Source organism: Homo sapiens, chromosome 8 (genome assembly GCF_000001405.40).
Source record: "Homo sapiens chromosome 8, GRCh38.p14 Primary Assembly".
Classification (NCBI taxonomy): Eukaryota; Metazoa; Chordata; class Mammalia; order Primates; family Hominidae; genus Homo; species Homo sapiens.
This window is the reverse complement of record NC_000008.11, coordinates 85,505,262-85,523,319: the sequence shown is the minus strand read 5'-3', so window position 1 is coordinate 85,523,319 and position 18,058 is coordinate 85,505,262. Positions and strand designations below refer to the sequence as shown.

The 18,058-nt window shown below is 38.3% G+C and overlaps 1 long non-coding RNA gene across 1 annotated transcript in view; it reads right to left on the bottom strand.

The window, feature by feature from the left end:
• LOC105375937 (uncharacterized) overlaps positions 1-18,058 on the bottom strand; it is a 39,068-nt gene that overhangs the window by 11,441 nt on the left and 9,569 nt on the right. The window lies entirely within an intron of this gene.

Below are 18,058 nucleotides of genomic sequence, written 5' to 3'. Positions count from 1 at the left end.
GAAAATATGCTTTCTAGAATTCCACTGACTGCAGAACGGAATCTGTTCATTGATTCATTCATTTAGTCAGTCAGTCAACAAGCATAACATGTGCACCTATTGCGTGCCGGGCACTGGGCTTGGTGCAGTGGTCTCCAACTTCACCACTCCCAGAACCAAATGGAAGTTGCAAGAGAAGATAGTGAGGGATGGAAAAAATTGGGGGCAGGAGAGAGGGAAGAAGAAAGAGAAGAAGAGAACGAAGAAATGACAGGAGAGAAGAAGGAAGAAGTAAAATGTACCTATTAATGACCAATTAATGTTGCTGGCCAGACTTGTTTCCTGGCCAAGCCTTTGTTTAGTGAGAATGAACAGGAGAAAAGGGAGAATGGGGTGGAGGCAAAATGTGAAGGGGAGGAAGACCTGCCTTAGAGGTCTCTACCACACCCATTCATTAAGTCTCAGTGTCATTCTTAATTCTCACATCAACCCACCTCCTAGATTCAGTGTCATGCCTCTTAATACTGGTTACCTTATCCCAGATTGTTGGGAAGACAACTCTAGTGCCTTGAAACCATCAGTGATGAAACAGAAGATGTACACCTATCTCCTTGAGGCATAAATCTGAGCAAATATTCCAGTGACGTCAGCTAGAGTCTCTATTACTGCATACAGTAGTCCTGTAGAGTTATTCTTTAATTCATTCACTCATGCGTTGAAGATCTTCTATTTCCAGTCACTGTTTCAGGCTATTGAAGGCAATGTTGAACAAGACTTTCCCTCTTATGAAACTTACCTATTAGCTGGGGACACATAGAATGCACAAGGAAATTAACAAGAGAATATCAGGTGGTAGGTTTTTTTTTTTGAGCTATGCAAAGAATGGAAACATGATAACATGTTTAATAGAATGATTAGGTGGCTAATCTACACTGGGTGTCAGAGTAGGTTTCAGTAGGTGTCAGTAGCTAGGCTGAGTCTACTAAGCAGGTGCACCCAGTGACATTTTTCTTAATGTCTGGAGGAGAAGGAGTCAGAGAACTGCATTCTAAGTGAGAAAACAACTTAGGCAAATGCCTTAAGGTGAGAATAAGTCTGACTTATTCAAGAATCTTGTGGAAGACCAGTGTGACTGGAGCACAGACAGTTAGGGGAGAGTGGTGTGAGGTGAGGTCTGCAAGGAGGCAGAGGATGCCTCATGAAGGACATCATGGGATAGGGCAAGGGATTTGAGCTTTACTCCTAGGGTAAAAGGAGAGTATTGCAGTACAGTGGCATTGTACACCTTTAGCATTGTCCGTATATACTGCAAACATACAACATGCTAAAGAGGTTTGTGGGTTTTTCCGGGGTCCAAACCACCATATGAAAAATTGTTTCTATAAGAAATGCTTTCTGAATGCCAAACAAAAATTCTCACAATTTATTCGAAGCCTGATCAATTTATCATCAGTGCTGAGATCTTTTTTAAATATGGCTTGGGCATTATTTCAATATTGCTTTTATTCCTGATAATAAATTTGGAAAATGGGGAACTGCTGTTTGAATCTTCCAGGCCTCAAGAAGAAGGTGGCTTGTCATTTATCTCTCTCTTCCAGTGTACAACAAGGCTTACCACTTGCAGAATCTGTTTCGGGATGGTCATTTATATTATCTACTACTGAGTCTACAATTCTTAGGTCATTTAGTTTGTATTTGAAATGTTTTCTGACAAAAAATTTAATTCACACCATCTTCTCCTTCTTGATCTTAATTAAACCAACTTTCATTTTGAATTTTTCTGTAAGCCTTTTTGACCTAAAAAACATTAGAAGTAAATCTTTACCATTTTGAAAATTTCATTAGTAAGCAAAATGTGAAATGCAATTATATGTTTAGTTATTTGTGAAAATTATTCTCTAGGGTTCAATTATTTTATTTTGGGAAATACATTTCTTCTAGGATAAGAGATTACTCTAGTATATATCATGGGCCACATCAAATAATTTGAAACAAGTTGGAACTTAAATAAATATGTAAATGTAAAATGGTGTTTTCCACTAAGTCAATGACTATCTCATCCACAAAAGACTTCGCTTCAAGCAAGTTACTAAGACAGAAAATGATTATGTTTTGTATTATCATCTTAAATTGAAGCTCACTGTATCCTTACTGTAAATTACTTTCTGTAGGAAGAGATTTTGGGGAGTGTTTTTAAGACCTTAGATAGAGTCTTATAATGGAAGCTTACCAAGTAAATTTCACAGACTCAAAAATCCAGAAGCTAAATAAATTGATCAAGTAATATAATCAAATTAAAATAAATTTTATTTTCCAGTTATGGATACTCACCACACAATATTATCAAAATACTTTTTTAAAACTTCATTTTATGGAAAAGTTCAAACACTTCCAAAAGTAGAAAAAATAGTATAGTGAACCCTCATTTATACACCATCCAGTTTCCATAATTATCAGCATTTTGTCCATTTGTTTCAGTAACTCCTCAACTTTTGAGAACATTATTAAGAGCTGAAAATAATTATATGCATAAATTGGTCATTAGTTTGAAGTTAACTACAAGATCACTCTCTTTCCTAACACCATATATCTCTTTATGGTTTTTCTATTTTTAATCATAATTATTAGATTTAGTCCTAATTTCTTAAGCAAAAATATGGTCTTTAGTGACTTCCTGTCATAGTTTTTCAGAGCATCACATCTTTCAGTGCCTCGTGGGAATTCAGTAAAAAAAAAGCATTAATGGTTTTGGTTTTTCAGAGCCATAGTGCTTAGGTTAACAAGAGAGCAAAGCTGTGAAATAATACCTGAAAAGGACAAAACAGGAACTCCTTTTTGTCTGATAATTGTTGAGTTTAGGCCGTGACGGCGTTAATGACAGGAGAGCAATCTCACAAAATGAGAAGCAATGTAAAGGAATGTAATCTTCTTTTGTGCTTTTGCCTAATGAATAATCTTAGATTTGTTTCCCATACAGTAGAATCGAGTTTAATAAATCTTCACCTCTGCAGCATTATTTTATTTAGGATTTCTGTTATTTCCCCCTTGCAGCTCTGTGATTGACTGTCCCAACACCAGTATATTTTTGCATACTATCTACCTTTAGTCGGGGAAAATATTTATAAAACTCAATTTTAAACATGTTGAAATCCTGCAGAGGTTCCTCATTGACTTCAGGGTAACAGCCATCACTTTAGCATGACTTAGGTGAACATTTCAAAACTGACTCCAATTTCTCTGTCTGCCATCATAATATGTTGAACTTGTTGCATGAACTGGAATGACTGTCCAGAATGCCCCTTTTGGGTGAAAACTAATCACACCGTCTATTTATTCTTCAGATATTCCTTCATTTAGGGGCCCTGAGTCGTCATCTGTATGAAGTGCTCCTCCTCTGCTCTCACAGAACTGAGCAGGTTATGTTTGTTTGTTGGTTTGTTTTTTGAGACAGAGTCTCGCTCTGTCACCAGGCTGGAGTGCAGTGGCGCGATCTCGGCTCACTGCAACCTCTGCTTCCTGGGTTCAAGCGATTCTCCTACCTCAGCCTCCCGAGTAGCTGGGACTACAGGCATGCAGCACCACTCCCAGCTAATTTTTTGTATTTTTAGTTGAGACAGGATTTCACCATGTTGGCCAGGACGGTCTCGATCTCTTGACCTCGTGATCCACCCACCTCAGCCTCCCAAAGTGCTGGAATTACAGGCGTGAGCCACCGCGCCTGGCTGTGAGTAGGTTATGTTTTAAATGTCCATTTACATCCTCATTCCCAACCACATAAAATACTCCCTGAGGCCAGGGATGGTGTTGTACTCATCTTTACATCCTCAGTGTGTTTCCCGTTGCTCTGCATGTACTAAATATCCAATAAAGAGTTGTTTAATAAATGGCTGAAGTAATGAATGAAAGATGCACAATTCTGCTTTTATTTAGTAAAAGCATTTTACCAAAAGGAAAATGGAAAATCATCATTTGGAGTGTCATTTTCTGCCATAAAAGTTATGGTGGCAACTTACTTCTAGGCAAGTATAGGATTCTAGATCTATTTCTTAAATATACCTATTCCAGATCTATAATCCTAAAATATTATTCACTGATATCAGATCCATGTTAACAATGTACCCCGTCAAGATTTCAACAGTACATGTGAGTTTAATAAAAGTCCTCTGCTCTCTCATATCACATGGGTTGGTGAGCCACAACCCAGATAGCTATAGGTTCCCTAAGAGAGCTCCAAGGAAACAACAATGAATAAGAAGAAGTTGAGTCTATTTTTTCCCTCAAGAAAACAAGCAGACCTTTCCCAGAAACTGATAGACAAAAGTTACTTAGGTTTCTTGTGGGATTTATTGAGTTATGTTATGAGTGTGTATCATTGTAAATTTAAACCATGCGTATATTTATACACTGTCTCAAGTCCTTTCAGAAACAGACAGGAGCATAAATTTAAAACAAATAACAGTACAAATTTATATATAACTACAGAATTGTTGGCACATGCTACATGATATGCTGGCATACTCGTTTCATATTTGTAAGATCAAATTGATCAGTGTTATTACCAGCAGTATGGCTATATTGCTTTGCTTTATTTCTAAGAGATTTGAACCTTATTACTTTAAATAGAAAATGTGACTGCATCATTTAAATTGCTCTGATCGTAACCCAATGCAATGCATAACAGAAAAAAAGAGTTGAAAAACTGTACCCTTTTTAAGAACCCAGGGAATACGTAATTCTTTCCAATACATTTAAGAATAGTTTGTCTTGAATGTTGTAATTCAAGTTACAATTTATTCTTATTCTTTCTTATATGCCTTGTACAAAAAAAAATAAAAACGGTTTGCATCTGTCTCTAACAATGCATATTTATAATAAGGCTATGAAAGAACTTTCAGATTTAAAGTACGCAATATTTTTTTAAAGTTCTCCAATCTTTGTTTTTTGTTTTGCTGTGTTTTGTTTTTGTTTGGAGACAGGGTCCTAACTCTGTTGCCCAGGCTGGAGTGCAGTGGTGTAATCACGGCTCACTGCAGCAGCGACGTCCCCAGCTGAAGCGATCCTCCCACCTCAGTCTCCCGAGTGGCTGTGACTACCAACGTGGGCCACCACGCCCAGCTAATTTTTTGTACTTCTTGTAGAGAAGAAGTTTTGCTATGTTGCCCAGGCTACTCTCGAACTCCTGGGCTCAAGCCATCCTCCTACCCTGGCCTCCCAAAATGCTGGGATTACAGGCATGAGCCACCACACTTGGCCCTAATTCTCCAATCTTAGTCTAAGAATAATAGGAAAAATTATACGATTCAGATTCAGATTCCACAAACATTTATTGAAAAGCTACTACAGGCTGGGCACAGTGGCTCATGCCTGTAATCCCAGCACTTTGGGAAGCCGAGGTACAAGGATCACCTGAGCCTGGAAGATTGAGGCTGCAGTAAGCCATGATCCTGCCACTGCACTCTGGCCTGGGTGAAAGAATGAGAATCTAACTCAAAAAAAAAAAAAAAAAAACCTACTACATGCCAGCCACTGCACCAAGTTCTTCCTATGGTATCTCATTTGCTCTTCATAACAATGTGGTGAGGAAAGTATTATTACTGTTTCTATTTTATAGATGGGCAATTGAGACTCATGGGGTAAGATGCTTACTATCACACAGGTAGAATGGAAAACGCCCAGGAAACAGTCCAGCACACAGTAGGCATCAGTAAATATTTGCTGAATCTGAAAATACACTGCCTTTTAAGACAAATTTGCTGCTTTTCAGCATTCTTAGATCCTATCACAGTGGGTGAGTAAACATGAGGTTTGGCAATCATTTTAGCTTTTTGTGTATTTATTTTTATACGTGTTTTCTTTTATCTGAACAGGTTATTAAACTGTCTGCCAAATGTTTTACACTCTTTAAACATGTTCGAAGTCAACCTTTTCAAATTATATTGTATTATTAACCCACTACATTTCTCTGCCTTGTTGTTTTATAGAGTATCTAAGAAATTGAAGTAAAGTAGTTTGAGTTTAGTTTGATAAATCTGGGAAAACATCCCCTTATGTTCGATCAATGTTTATATGTTCTGACATTACAATTTGGACATGAAAATGGCAAATTGCTTTAAGGTCAACCTTTACGTTTTACTAATTTCTTGTCCCCTCAGAACATACCACAGTGCCTGGTACATCATAAATATTCAATATGTTTATTTATCAGATAAGTAAAATAATGAATGAACAACTCTTATATTGCATGCTACCTACATATAAAACAAGTAATTCTTTCCTGCAATGTTTGTTTTGGTTGCATTCAATCTGGCTATTTAAAGACAATGTTAAAACTCTGCCACTTACTAGCTGTGGAAACTTGATCAAATCATAGAAAGAGGGTAAGCCCCAATTTTCTCCTCTTTAAAATGGGGACAGTAAACTCTATTTGCAGAATAAATTATGAAAGTTGATGGAAGGTAGTTTTGAAGTTTGTACCTGTTGTGGATTGAATTGTACACTCCCCACAAGAATCGTATGTTGAAGTCCTAACCTAGATTACTACAAAAGGTGACCTCACTCAGAGATAGGATCTTTACAGAGGTGATGAAGTTACAATGAGAATAATATAGTGGGTCCTAATCCAAAGTGCCTCGTGTCCTTACTCAAAGGGAAGTTTGGAAACAGGTGCACACACACACACACACACACGGAGAATGCCACGTGAACATGAAGGCAGAGATTGGAGTGATGCGTCTAGATGCCAAAGAATACCAAAGATTACCCCAAAACCACTAAAAGGTAGGGAAGAAGCATTGAACAGATTCTTCCTCACTGCCTCAAGAACGAATCAACTCTCCTGACACTGGATCTTGGACTCCTAGGCTCCAGAATTGTGAGACAATAAGTATGTTGTTTAAGCCACTTAGTTTGTCACATTTTGTTATAGAAGCTCTAGGAAAGTAACACAATGTCTGATTATGATTATTTCCTGAGTTAGGAACTTATAATCGCCAGGTGCAGTGGCTCAAGCCTGTAATCCCAGCACTTTGGGAGGCCGAGGCGGGAGGATCACTTGAGGTCATGAGTTCGAGATCAGCCTGGCCAACATGGCGAAAACCTGTCTCTACTAAAAATACAAAAATTATCTGGGTGTGGTGGCAGGCGCCAGAAAGCCCAGCTACTGGGGAGGCTGAGGCAGGAGAATCGCTTGAGCCTGGGAGGCAGAGGTTGCGGTCAGCCGAGATCGTGCCATGGCACTCCAGCCTAGGTGATAGAGTGAGACTCGGTCTCAAAAAAAAAAAGTTAAAGTCACCTTCTGGGAGGAAGGAGTTGGCATAGAGCTAAAAGCTTGAGAAGAGAGACTCATTCTACCTGTAGTTACTGGACATCTCCCATGCGTCAGCTACTATGCTTTGTCACCAGAGATATAACCGTGACTAAGAGTCATGGCTACTACCCTCACAGAGCTGATTGCCCAGCAAAGGTTTGAAAGTGCTATGGTGGAGAACAGGTAAAGGAGGCAACTTGGGTTGAGTAAACTAATTGTTAAACCCTACCAAGTTCAAACTGTTGATAGGCACAACCTTTTATGAGTTAGATTTTACCTGCTTCTTTGATTTCATTTTCAACCTTCAATTGATTCCTTCCCCATCACTCCACATATTGTGTACATATATGCTTGTGCACATGTGCACACAGATGCGTGCACACACACACACACACACACACAGAGGTTATGCTGCCACCACACTCACTTGCATTTCCCAAAACTCCGATATTTTTTGTCTCTCACCTTTGTACATTCCATTCTCTCTGCCTGAAAGTCCCCTCTCCCATTTTATTTACTTGGCAGGTTACCAAGTTTTCCGGTGTTCTAAACTCAAGCATTATCCTCACATTTTAAATTTTCTGACCACAGCCTGAGTTAGAGGTGTCCTTCTGCTTCCATAACACCAGACACTCATTATTATACTGGATTGCAATTGGCTGTTGGTTTGTTTGAAACCAGAGGCTGAGTGTTTTTCATCTCTCTCCTTCATGCTAAGCACAGTACCCGGAACAACATAGATATGCAAAGCACATTTCTTGAGTCAAATGAATAATTAATTAATGCAGAAAAATGTCATATGCAAAGATATTCAGCAACCCATACACACATGGCAAAATACCCCTAGAGCTGATTTTTGGTATCACAGGCACCTGTTCCCTGATCCTGTCTCACTCTGTCCTGCAGTCTTCTGCACCCACCCTCCACATCTTCATCCACCACAAAGGTACCTCTCACCATTAGCCCAGCTTGCCATCAGGTGCTGAATGTGTGTCTCCACCCTTCATCATTCACTAGGAAGCCTCTGGAATGCTAGCATTTATCTTCTGAAAAGTTGCCAAGCACAACAGTAAAGCTGTGTGGTATTTTTCAACTGTGCAACTTTAACATGTCTCAAGGAGGCTCTGAAAAAGTCATAAAGTATTAAGTCCCTCCTTAGTGGCATTTCAATCCTTTTGGAAATAAGTAAATGTGTAAAAATAAAAGGAAAATAAAGTCTGTTGAAAGATTTCAATTGTTTTCTTTGTTCTTAAAAATTTATTTTATTTTACTTTTAATTGACAAATAATTGTAGATATGTATGATTATAGTGTGATTGTTTTGATATATGTATATATTATACCACCACATATCTTCAGTGGTAGATACAAACAAGTACTTCCTAAAACAGTCATGCAAGAATTAAGAACCATAAATCCTAATGTTTTACTCTGCCTCCTCATTGGATTGTGACTTGGCTTTAATCTCTTACATTTAGAAAATTTGGATTTTCTCCTGTTTATAAAATAATTCAGGTATTTCTCCTACAATGCATGTTCACCTCTGTAAAATTGGACACTAAAAATAAGAGAGCTTATGGAAAGAATAGAATTGGGACAAATTCCTCATAAGCTATGGAATTTTGCAACCAAGACACTAATGAGAATAATTAACCCTCCTAATAGAAATACCAGCATTGTTAAATCTCTCTTTGTATTTATGTCCAATCAGTTAATCTTCGCAATTTTAACTCCTGGTTCTGGTGATTTCCCTTTGAAGGAGAGATCCTAGAGGACACTCTCTTCTAGTAGATTATTTAACAAATATTAGAAATCTTATCCAGAGTGTACCTTTTTTTTTTAATAGAAGGGAAATGTCATTGCAGCTTTGTTATCTGCAGTAACAGTTTACCCAAGAAGCTTGGCATAGTAGAAAGGGTAGCAATTCTTGAAGCCACTAACCTAGTCTCCACCTGCAGTTCTGTAGATTTCCAGAGTTAATTCACAGATTGCTAAGGCTCTTTCTTTAGTTGTAAGAAAGCCTACTCTGACCACTTTAAAACATTAACCTGCTGGAAAAAAAATTATACATGAACTAAGACACAACTGCTGTGTTATGTAGACATTATTCTCCTATTATCTCCTATTTGCACAAGGGAAGCAGTATCAATGAAACAGCTTTAAAGTAGAACAGATTGTAGTTCTAAATACTTACTTAGTTTATGAACAAAATAATTAACATGGCTTAATAAGATCATGTCAGAAAACTCTTTAAATTCCATGAGACAAATCTACTATGCAGCAATCAGTATCTCTTTGGAGCCTCACAAATAACAATTGCTACAATCACTTCCACTTTCACATTTAAAGGAAATGTATTTTTAGCTAGGGCAACTCCTACCTTGGCTACCTTCCCAGAAAGTTGTGTGTGAAATATATTGAGGCAAAAACAATGAAGACTTGGTCAATTTTTGCTGTTGAAGTTCTTTTGGGCTTTTCCAACAGATACCTTACTAACCAAATGATTTGGAGGACACAGTTCTAAATTCTGCAGCTCAAAATGCTTCCATTGTAGTATGTCATTTTATTTCCCTCTGGAATAAGGACATTTAAGTACCATTGGAAAGGAACTGTGCTGAATCTGGCATAAATATAAGTCATCTCTTCCTAAGCCTACCAACTCGACTCAAAAACTGTTGAAATATAAGCAAGAATGATACTGGAGTGCATTGGTACAAAATGAAAAGAAGTGTTTCATTACAGCAGGGATACTTTTAATTTTGCGTTTTAGTCTGAAACTAGGTTACGCTTCTGGAAATTGGATGATAACTTTATGTAGTATTCTTCTGTGAGGCTACTGTTTCAGAATAGGTATTTAGCATTTTTACCCTTCTGCGTTGATCCTAGGTGAGTTTCTATAATATTAGATATATGTACTCACAATTCATCTACTCATAGAGTTACAGATGTGCAGAATGTTAGAATAGATTGGATCTTAGAGGTCAGTTAGATCATCTGTAGCTTCCTTTCATAGGCCACAACATTAAGAGTCACACGGAAAAAATGAATGGTGGGATATTATAATATTTCTTACAATATTTTCTGGGTTTTTTGAGGGGTAAGGGTGGGAAGAAACTATTATCAGCTGGCTAAAAGGAGAGTGATAATGTGTGGTTTTCTCGTGTGTATATTAAAGCTTATGAATAAAACTACTAGGTATAAGAACTTACCCAACACGCAGTGAACCTCAAAGGAGATGGTTGCCCATCTGGTTTCAATTTGATTAAGTTTATGTTCTATTTGACGCTTATTATGTGGAAGACACTGAGCTAGGTGGTTGGCATACAAAGATAAGCAAGAGAGGCAAACATAATAACACTGTTTCTTGAAATTAATCTTAACTTACTTTGAGACCCAGCTCTACCACCTATTAATTTATTATTAACTTATTATTAATCTTGGGCAAATCACTTAATCCCTTAGACTTTCCATTTTATTTATCTGCAAAACTAAGATCCAGTTTGTAAAGTTTGGTTTAAGGAATTAAATATCTCATATGCAGTTACTTAGCACAGTGCCAGGTATCCAAGAAGTATTTGTCTCCCCTAGATCTAGAGCCAGAAGCCTTAACTTTAAGGAACTCATAATCCAATAGAGACATGAATAGTGCCTTACTGATGCTGAAGAACGGACATATAATGAATATATGGGAGCACATACACAAGAGACCGTGTTTCTGATGAAGAAGGATTAAATGTTGGAGAATAACAAAGAAGTGTTAGGGAAAGAAACCAAGGGATTTCTGATATGGAAATAGGCAGGAGATGGAAATATTTGGGACAAATTCAACACTGATGGAATAAATGCTGGTAGGACATAGACTGCTTATATATAGTACATCTACTTTGTTGAAAATTGGAAACTTTTAGATTAATAGAGAACAAAGAATCATGATTTGTATTATTTCATTTATGCCGATTTCATTCATTCTTTTCACAAATAGCTTCTATGTGTCAAGCACTATACTAGGCACTGGGAATCCAGAGGTAAGCAAAAGAAGACAGTTCTTATTTTCTTGTAACTTACAGTACTGAAGGACAAAGAGATCACTGAATTGATAAGTGCTGATAAAATGCAAAGTGCTGTGAAGGAAATGAAGATGCTGTTACTGCCCCCTTGGTAGAACAAAAGGATTTAGATAAAAGATGCAGGAATACTTTCCTAAGCAATGGTGAATCCTGAAGGGAAAGAAGTAGCTAGCTACACTGAATCAGGGAAGAAAATTCCAAGCAGAGAGACCAGCAGGAGAGATCTAGAAATGGAAATATGTGTTGGTTCTAGAATACGTACACTGTATTGCTGAGAATTTCAGCACAATGCCTGGAATGTGCTACTCAACACTTGACTAAATGAGTGAACGAATGAATAAATTCTGAAAAGACTGATTAGTTAACAAAGCTTTTGAGCAGGAAAATGACACAGTCAGATCAATACTTTAGAAAAAGCAATTCTACAGCCATCACCAATTAAGATAATTTTGCAATAGCACCAGATTAGAAAGACTGAGAGTATATCTAGGACAGTGTTTGTGAGAGACCGGGAGTGAAACGGTTGGGATGGAAATGACAAATAGCTTGATATTCCTACCAATGAAAGGCTAGCTCGGCCATGGTGATAGAGGTAGATCATGGAGGTCCTATGTGTGTTGCTTCAGGCCCTAAACTTTATCTTGTGGAAAACAGAAAGGCTTTGAAGAGTTTTTAAGCAGGGGTGTAACTGGTTGCAATTGCATTTTAGATAGGGCATTCTGTGACAGTATGGAAGATAAATTTGAAAGCTCCTCAGATGAAAGGAGAGTAGAAGGATGTTGTAATATTCCTGTGAGAAATAATGAATAAATTAGATTAGTGGGAAGTAAGCAAATGTAGGAGGCTATTGTAATATTCCAGGTGAGAGAAACAATGAGTAAATGAAAGAAAGCTGTATATCAGATAGAAAAAAAGAGCATTGACTCAAACTACTTCGGAAGCAGAATACTCATTTTATTTTGTTTATTTTCTTATTTTTGAGATGGAGTCTCACTCTGTCACCCAGGCTGGAGTGCAGTGGTGCTATCTCAGCTCACTGCATCCTCCACTTTCCGGGTTCAAGAGATTCTCCCGCTTCAGCCTTCTGAGTAGCTGGGATTTTGGGCACCTGCCATCATGCCCAGCTAACTTTTTTATTTTTAGTAGAGACAGGGTTTCACCATGTGGGCCAGGCTGGTCTTGAACTCCTGACCTCAGGTGATCCACCTGCCTTGGCCTCCCAAAGTGCTGGGATTACAGGCTTGAGCCACTGTGCCTGGCAGAATATTCATTTTAGTGCTTAATTGGGTGTGCAGGGAGGAAGGAGTAGGAGGAGTTCAGGGCGATTCACAAGTGTATGACAGAGCTGATTGTGCCATTGAATAAGCAAGAAAACCAGGAGGAAGAGCTGGTCAGGATAGGAAAAGGTCATGGGGGTGAGAGTGAGACGTAAAGTCTGAGGAGCCTGTGGTACATCCAAGCGAAGATGCTCATTAAGCATTTGGATATTCAAGTTTATATCCCAGATGTGAGAGCAATGCTATAAAGATAGACGGATGGATAGACAGATAGATACATAGATAGGCAGATACCTAGATAGAGAGGATAGATACATACATACGATGGATGATAGATAGAGTCATCTTCATATGAGAGTTGTTTAAACCATGTGAATCACCCAGAAAGACCTGTTGAATGGAAGAGCAATGGGTAAGAACAGAAACTGGAAAAGCAATAGCTTGAGAGGGCAGGGTTAAAGGCCCATGTATGATAGTAAGAAGGGACGAGAAAAGAAATCAGAGGATGACCAGGGCGGACAATTTTTATGATAAACAAGAAAGTTAAGAGTTTTTATTTAAGAAAAAAAAAGATTGACAACATCATCAAATGCTACAAAGTGGTCAGGTAAGATGAGGGCTGAAGATAATCCAGACATATTTGCAAGAATAAGGACTGAACATTTTGGAGATTATGGCCAGAATAGGATAATGGAATTGAAGATTTCTAATAGGAATTAGTCTAGTTGGTGACCAAGTCCCAGGTGAAAGTATGACTCTATGTGGGACTGAGGAGGAGGGGCAGTCAAGATCCTTAGAGATGAGGAAGTCAGAGGACTGTGAGGGTCAGGATTTCAGACAGGACATCTACATGACCATTGAGGTCACCAATATGTTGGCAGGACATGAAGTACAAAAAAAGACAATTTTCCACATCCTTTACTTTTGAGAAGTCAGTAGGAGACCAACTGAAGAATTTATACTAAAGACAATGAAGTTTTACACAGGGAAAAAGAAGCAATTGAGTTTTCTTAAATCAAGTGTAGTCTAAAGACACCTCCTTGCATATTTTAAGTTTGGCCTAAAGATTTCTCTGTACATCGTGAACTATAACCTAAATGAAGGTGTATACAGACTGTAGTCTACTCTTGTGCCAATCACCAAGTTTCAGCCAATCAAAGCTGGCCAACCATTCAAACCATGTTCAAATAAGGCAAATGCTGAGCTGTAACCAACCTGGCTGTTTCTGTACCTCACTTCCATTTTCTGTGGGTCACTTTTCTTTTTCTGTCCATAAATCTTCCACCACCTGGCTGCGCTGGAGTCTCTGACCCTACTCTGGCTCAGGAGGCTGCCCGATCTGTGAATCATTCTTTGCTCAGTTAAACTCTCTTAAATTTAATTTGGCTAAAGTTTTTCTTTTAACGATTTTGATACAAGAACTGTGATTTAAGAGATTATTCACTCCACTTTGTAATCTCATAGTTCATGAGGCCCTCATGATATATAAGTTCAGGATTGGACTGAAAAGGAAAAATGAAATATTGGCCATAAATAGGAGGCACAGAACAGCATAAGTTGAGATCAGAGAGAAGCCAAATGGTTTACATTTAAGGAGACTTATCAAGGGCTAGTGAAGAGCTTTCAGGACAGCAAGAATTAGCGAGGACAAAAAATTAAACCGTGGTCCCCACCCTCATGGGATATATACTATTGGGGATAGATGTTATCAAAGACTCGATACATGTAAGATTATAGCCAGATAAGGGATAGGAAGGAAGTGAACATGGGATGGGAAAGCAGGTTATAGGAGGGGTTGTCCTGCTTAGGGAGGAGAGGCTTCCTGAGAAGTAATAATTATGCTGGGTTCTGAAGGAGCTGGTGGTCTGAGGAGAGGGCGCTCTAAGGGGAGTGAGTGGACTGGGGTAAGAAGATAGTGCATGCAAAGCCCTGTGGTAGGAGGACTAGGAGCATCCCACGTGGGGTGGGGCACACAGCACAGTGAGCATGTGCCATGGAGAGAAAAGCTGGAGCTAATCCTGCCAGGCCTTAGCAGCTTCCAGGAAGGGTGGTCTTTATTTAACGGCATGTTTTGTCCTGTGACAAGAATCCCCAAACTATCCATGTAAGGCAGATGGGGAGGCCCAAACACATCCTATTTGTTCTGATTGACAAGTCAGTTGGCAAGCACAGAGAAAAAAATTTATCGTTTGCTCCAGTGAAGGCTACTGTGATGCTCACAGTTGACACTTTTTCAAAACGATTATAACATCTTGGGGATCTTACACAGTTGGTTCTTTGTATCCACAGGTTCCACTTTGGTGGATTCAGCCAACTGCAGACTTAAAATATTTTTTAAAAAGCAATAAATAATTAGCAATAAAAAATAATAGAAATAAAATACAATACAATATAACCACTATTTACATAGCATATACATTGGATTAGATATTATAAATAATCTAATCTAGAGATCATTTAAAGAATATGGAAGGATATCCATAGGTTATGTGAAAATACTACACCATTTTATTTAAGGGATGTGAGCATCCAAGGATTTTAGCATTAGTCCAGGAACCATTCTCTGCTCTGTGAAAACCAACTTTACTTGTGAACAAAGCAAGCAGTTTAAAGTGTCACATGAGCCCATCCTCCCCACGCTGCTTCCTGTCTCTCTCCCCTCCATGGGTAAAACAGCCTCTTTTGCCTGGACAGTGGTGGAGGGGGGAAGTGAATTAGAAGATGACATAGATGTAAGATGCCTTTTGATAGAGCAGTTTCAAGAAAATTGTGTGCATAAAAATCAAGTTGCTGTAGGTAAACAAGGAAATAAAAGTGTTTAGCTAGACAGCTATTTCCAAAAATGTCAAGAGAATGAGAGGGAGAGAGATGAAAATGAACCCTGAAGAGAAATGAGGTTAAAGGAAACATACTTGTTCATATGGCCTTTTGCAACAACTCTTTGAAGAAAAAAGTTCAAACATACACAAAAGTAGAAACAATAGTAAAATGAACCATCGTAATTCACTCAGACTAAACAGTTATCAACAATCAGATTGCTACTTTTGCAACATTTTTCTTTTCTCCTGCTCTTTGTGAAACTGCCTTTGCAAAATTATGACAGGTTGAGAAATCTGACATGGCTGACTCCATCTTGCTTCTTTCTTTATAGGCTGGCTGTTGTCACTCACTCCTGGACGTACGCCAAGCTAACTTTGGGGAAAATTTAGTTTATAGTTTAAATGATAATAGGCCTTCCCAAAAACTAAACTACCCTTGTAAAACTAAAGAAAGGCCACAAAGTTACAAGGATGAGAGGGTCCTGAACTCTACTACAATGTAGGCACAGTTAAATAATTACCAATCATTATTGTGGAGCTCCCAAGACTTGTGTCTTCCCCAATTACTTCTGCAGACAGCATCACTACTGTAGAACCTAAGACTGGCTTTTTGAGATGTCTTTTCAGGCTTCTGCATTTCTGACAACCAAATGGCCCCACTGGGACTCACCAGTAGTCCTGTGGCCCCACCCAGGAACCAAATCAGCACAATTGAACAGCTTCAACTCCGTATGATTTCATCTCCTACCCAACGAATTCCTGGCTCCCTACCCACCAAGCTATCTTTGAAAAACCCCTAACCTCTGAGCCTTTGGTGAGATTGATTTGAGTAATAATTCCATCTCCCACAAGGCATGGCCGGCCTCCCGTCAATTAAACTCCTTCTTTACTGCAATGATGTGGTCTCTGTGAATTGATTTTATTTGTGCAGCAGGCAGGAAGAACTCATCAGGAAATTATATCTTTTCCCTAAGTATTTTATGGCAAATCCAAGATATCATGAAATTTAACGTAGTCTTCATATTCTGACCTATGCTTCACTAAAAATATATTTTTTTATATAAATATAATGCTATTGTTACGTCCAACCAAATTACCAATAATTCCTTGTCACAACCGATACTCAATTCATATTCAAAATTCTTTCATTGTCTCAAAAAAATATCCTTTTACAAGGAGCTTATTGGAATCAAGATTCAAACATGTTCCAAGTATTATATTGGATTGCTATGTCTGTTTTAATTTTCCTGCCATCTAAAATAGCCCCTTCTTATGAGTTTTTTGTTGTTGTTGGTTTTTCATGCCTTGGATTACCTGATAAAACCAGTCAGTTTTTCTACGTCCATATTTTTTATAAATAAAAGTTAGCTTTAAAGCCTTCATGGGTGGATTTCATTGGTTTGTTTGTTTTTAGTGATGAGGAGGGCTTAAATATGTCAAACACAGAGTGAAATAAAAAAGTCGAAGATAGAAGGAAAGGCAAAATAATTTTTAGTGCAAAATGATGAAGAGGTGGAACATAAAAGTTACTTTTGGACTGAAATCAAAATTTTCTTTTTCTGAAACAAGAGACAGAGATAAAAATGAATAAATATATTGGTAAATTTTGAAATGGTAACAGATGTGATAGTCAAAATATTGATTAATAAGCATAATAGTGATAGTCAAAATCAGCTTGGAAATGAATTGAATTATACAAATCAAGTCTTATGCAGACTGGTCCTGGTTATGAAACAACATGCTGGCAACTTCACAGCATCCAGATAGTTCCAGCAGATTTGGGAGGCCTGCCAGTTCCTACACACAAGTCCCTTGTAGACTAAAAGACGTAGAACATTCCTCTTGTGGGCCCCTCTTGCCTCTCCAAACCAGAATGCCTGCCATGTTTGACATGGACATCAATCATATGAAACAGATTGATGCAAACAACCCATGTATGTGAAGGTATTGGTTCACATCAGTTACATGTCTGTTCTCAGTGATGGGAGGGAACATTGATATTTATGTCTAATGGCCTTTCTTTTCTCATTGAAATAGAAAGTTAAGTTATTGGATCAAAGGGAAAGTTAGGGCATGGTTGGAATTTTTACAGGTGGGTATTTGGGGTGACTGTAGTAGTGAATGAGAAAGTATGTTAGCCAAGGATGAGGTAAAGAGTTCCTATCAAAATCAAAGACCCAGAGAGAATAATTCAGTTTTGGGTCCTGAAGGTACTTGGTTGACTGGTTATAGAGACAAAGTGAGTGAAGTTATTAACATTGGTGAAAAGATATCCAGGAATCAACAAAAACAATATGACTTGCATATATACAAATCTTACTGGTGTTGTTTTTTAAATTAGTAACTGAGGAGAAAAGACAAAGCAAAAATGATTAAATATCAACAAGTGTTAGGGCCTGGCACAGTGGCTCACGCTTGTGATTCTAGCACTTTGGGAGGCAAAGGCAGGTGGATCGCTCCATCACTCCAGCTCAGGAGTTCCAGACCAGCCTGGGCAACATGGCAAAACCCTGTCTCTACAAAAAATACAAAAATTAGCCAGATGTGGTGGCACACGCTTGTAGTCCCAGCTACTCAGAAGACTGAGGTGGGAGGATCACTTGAGCCCAGG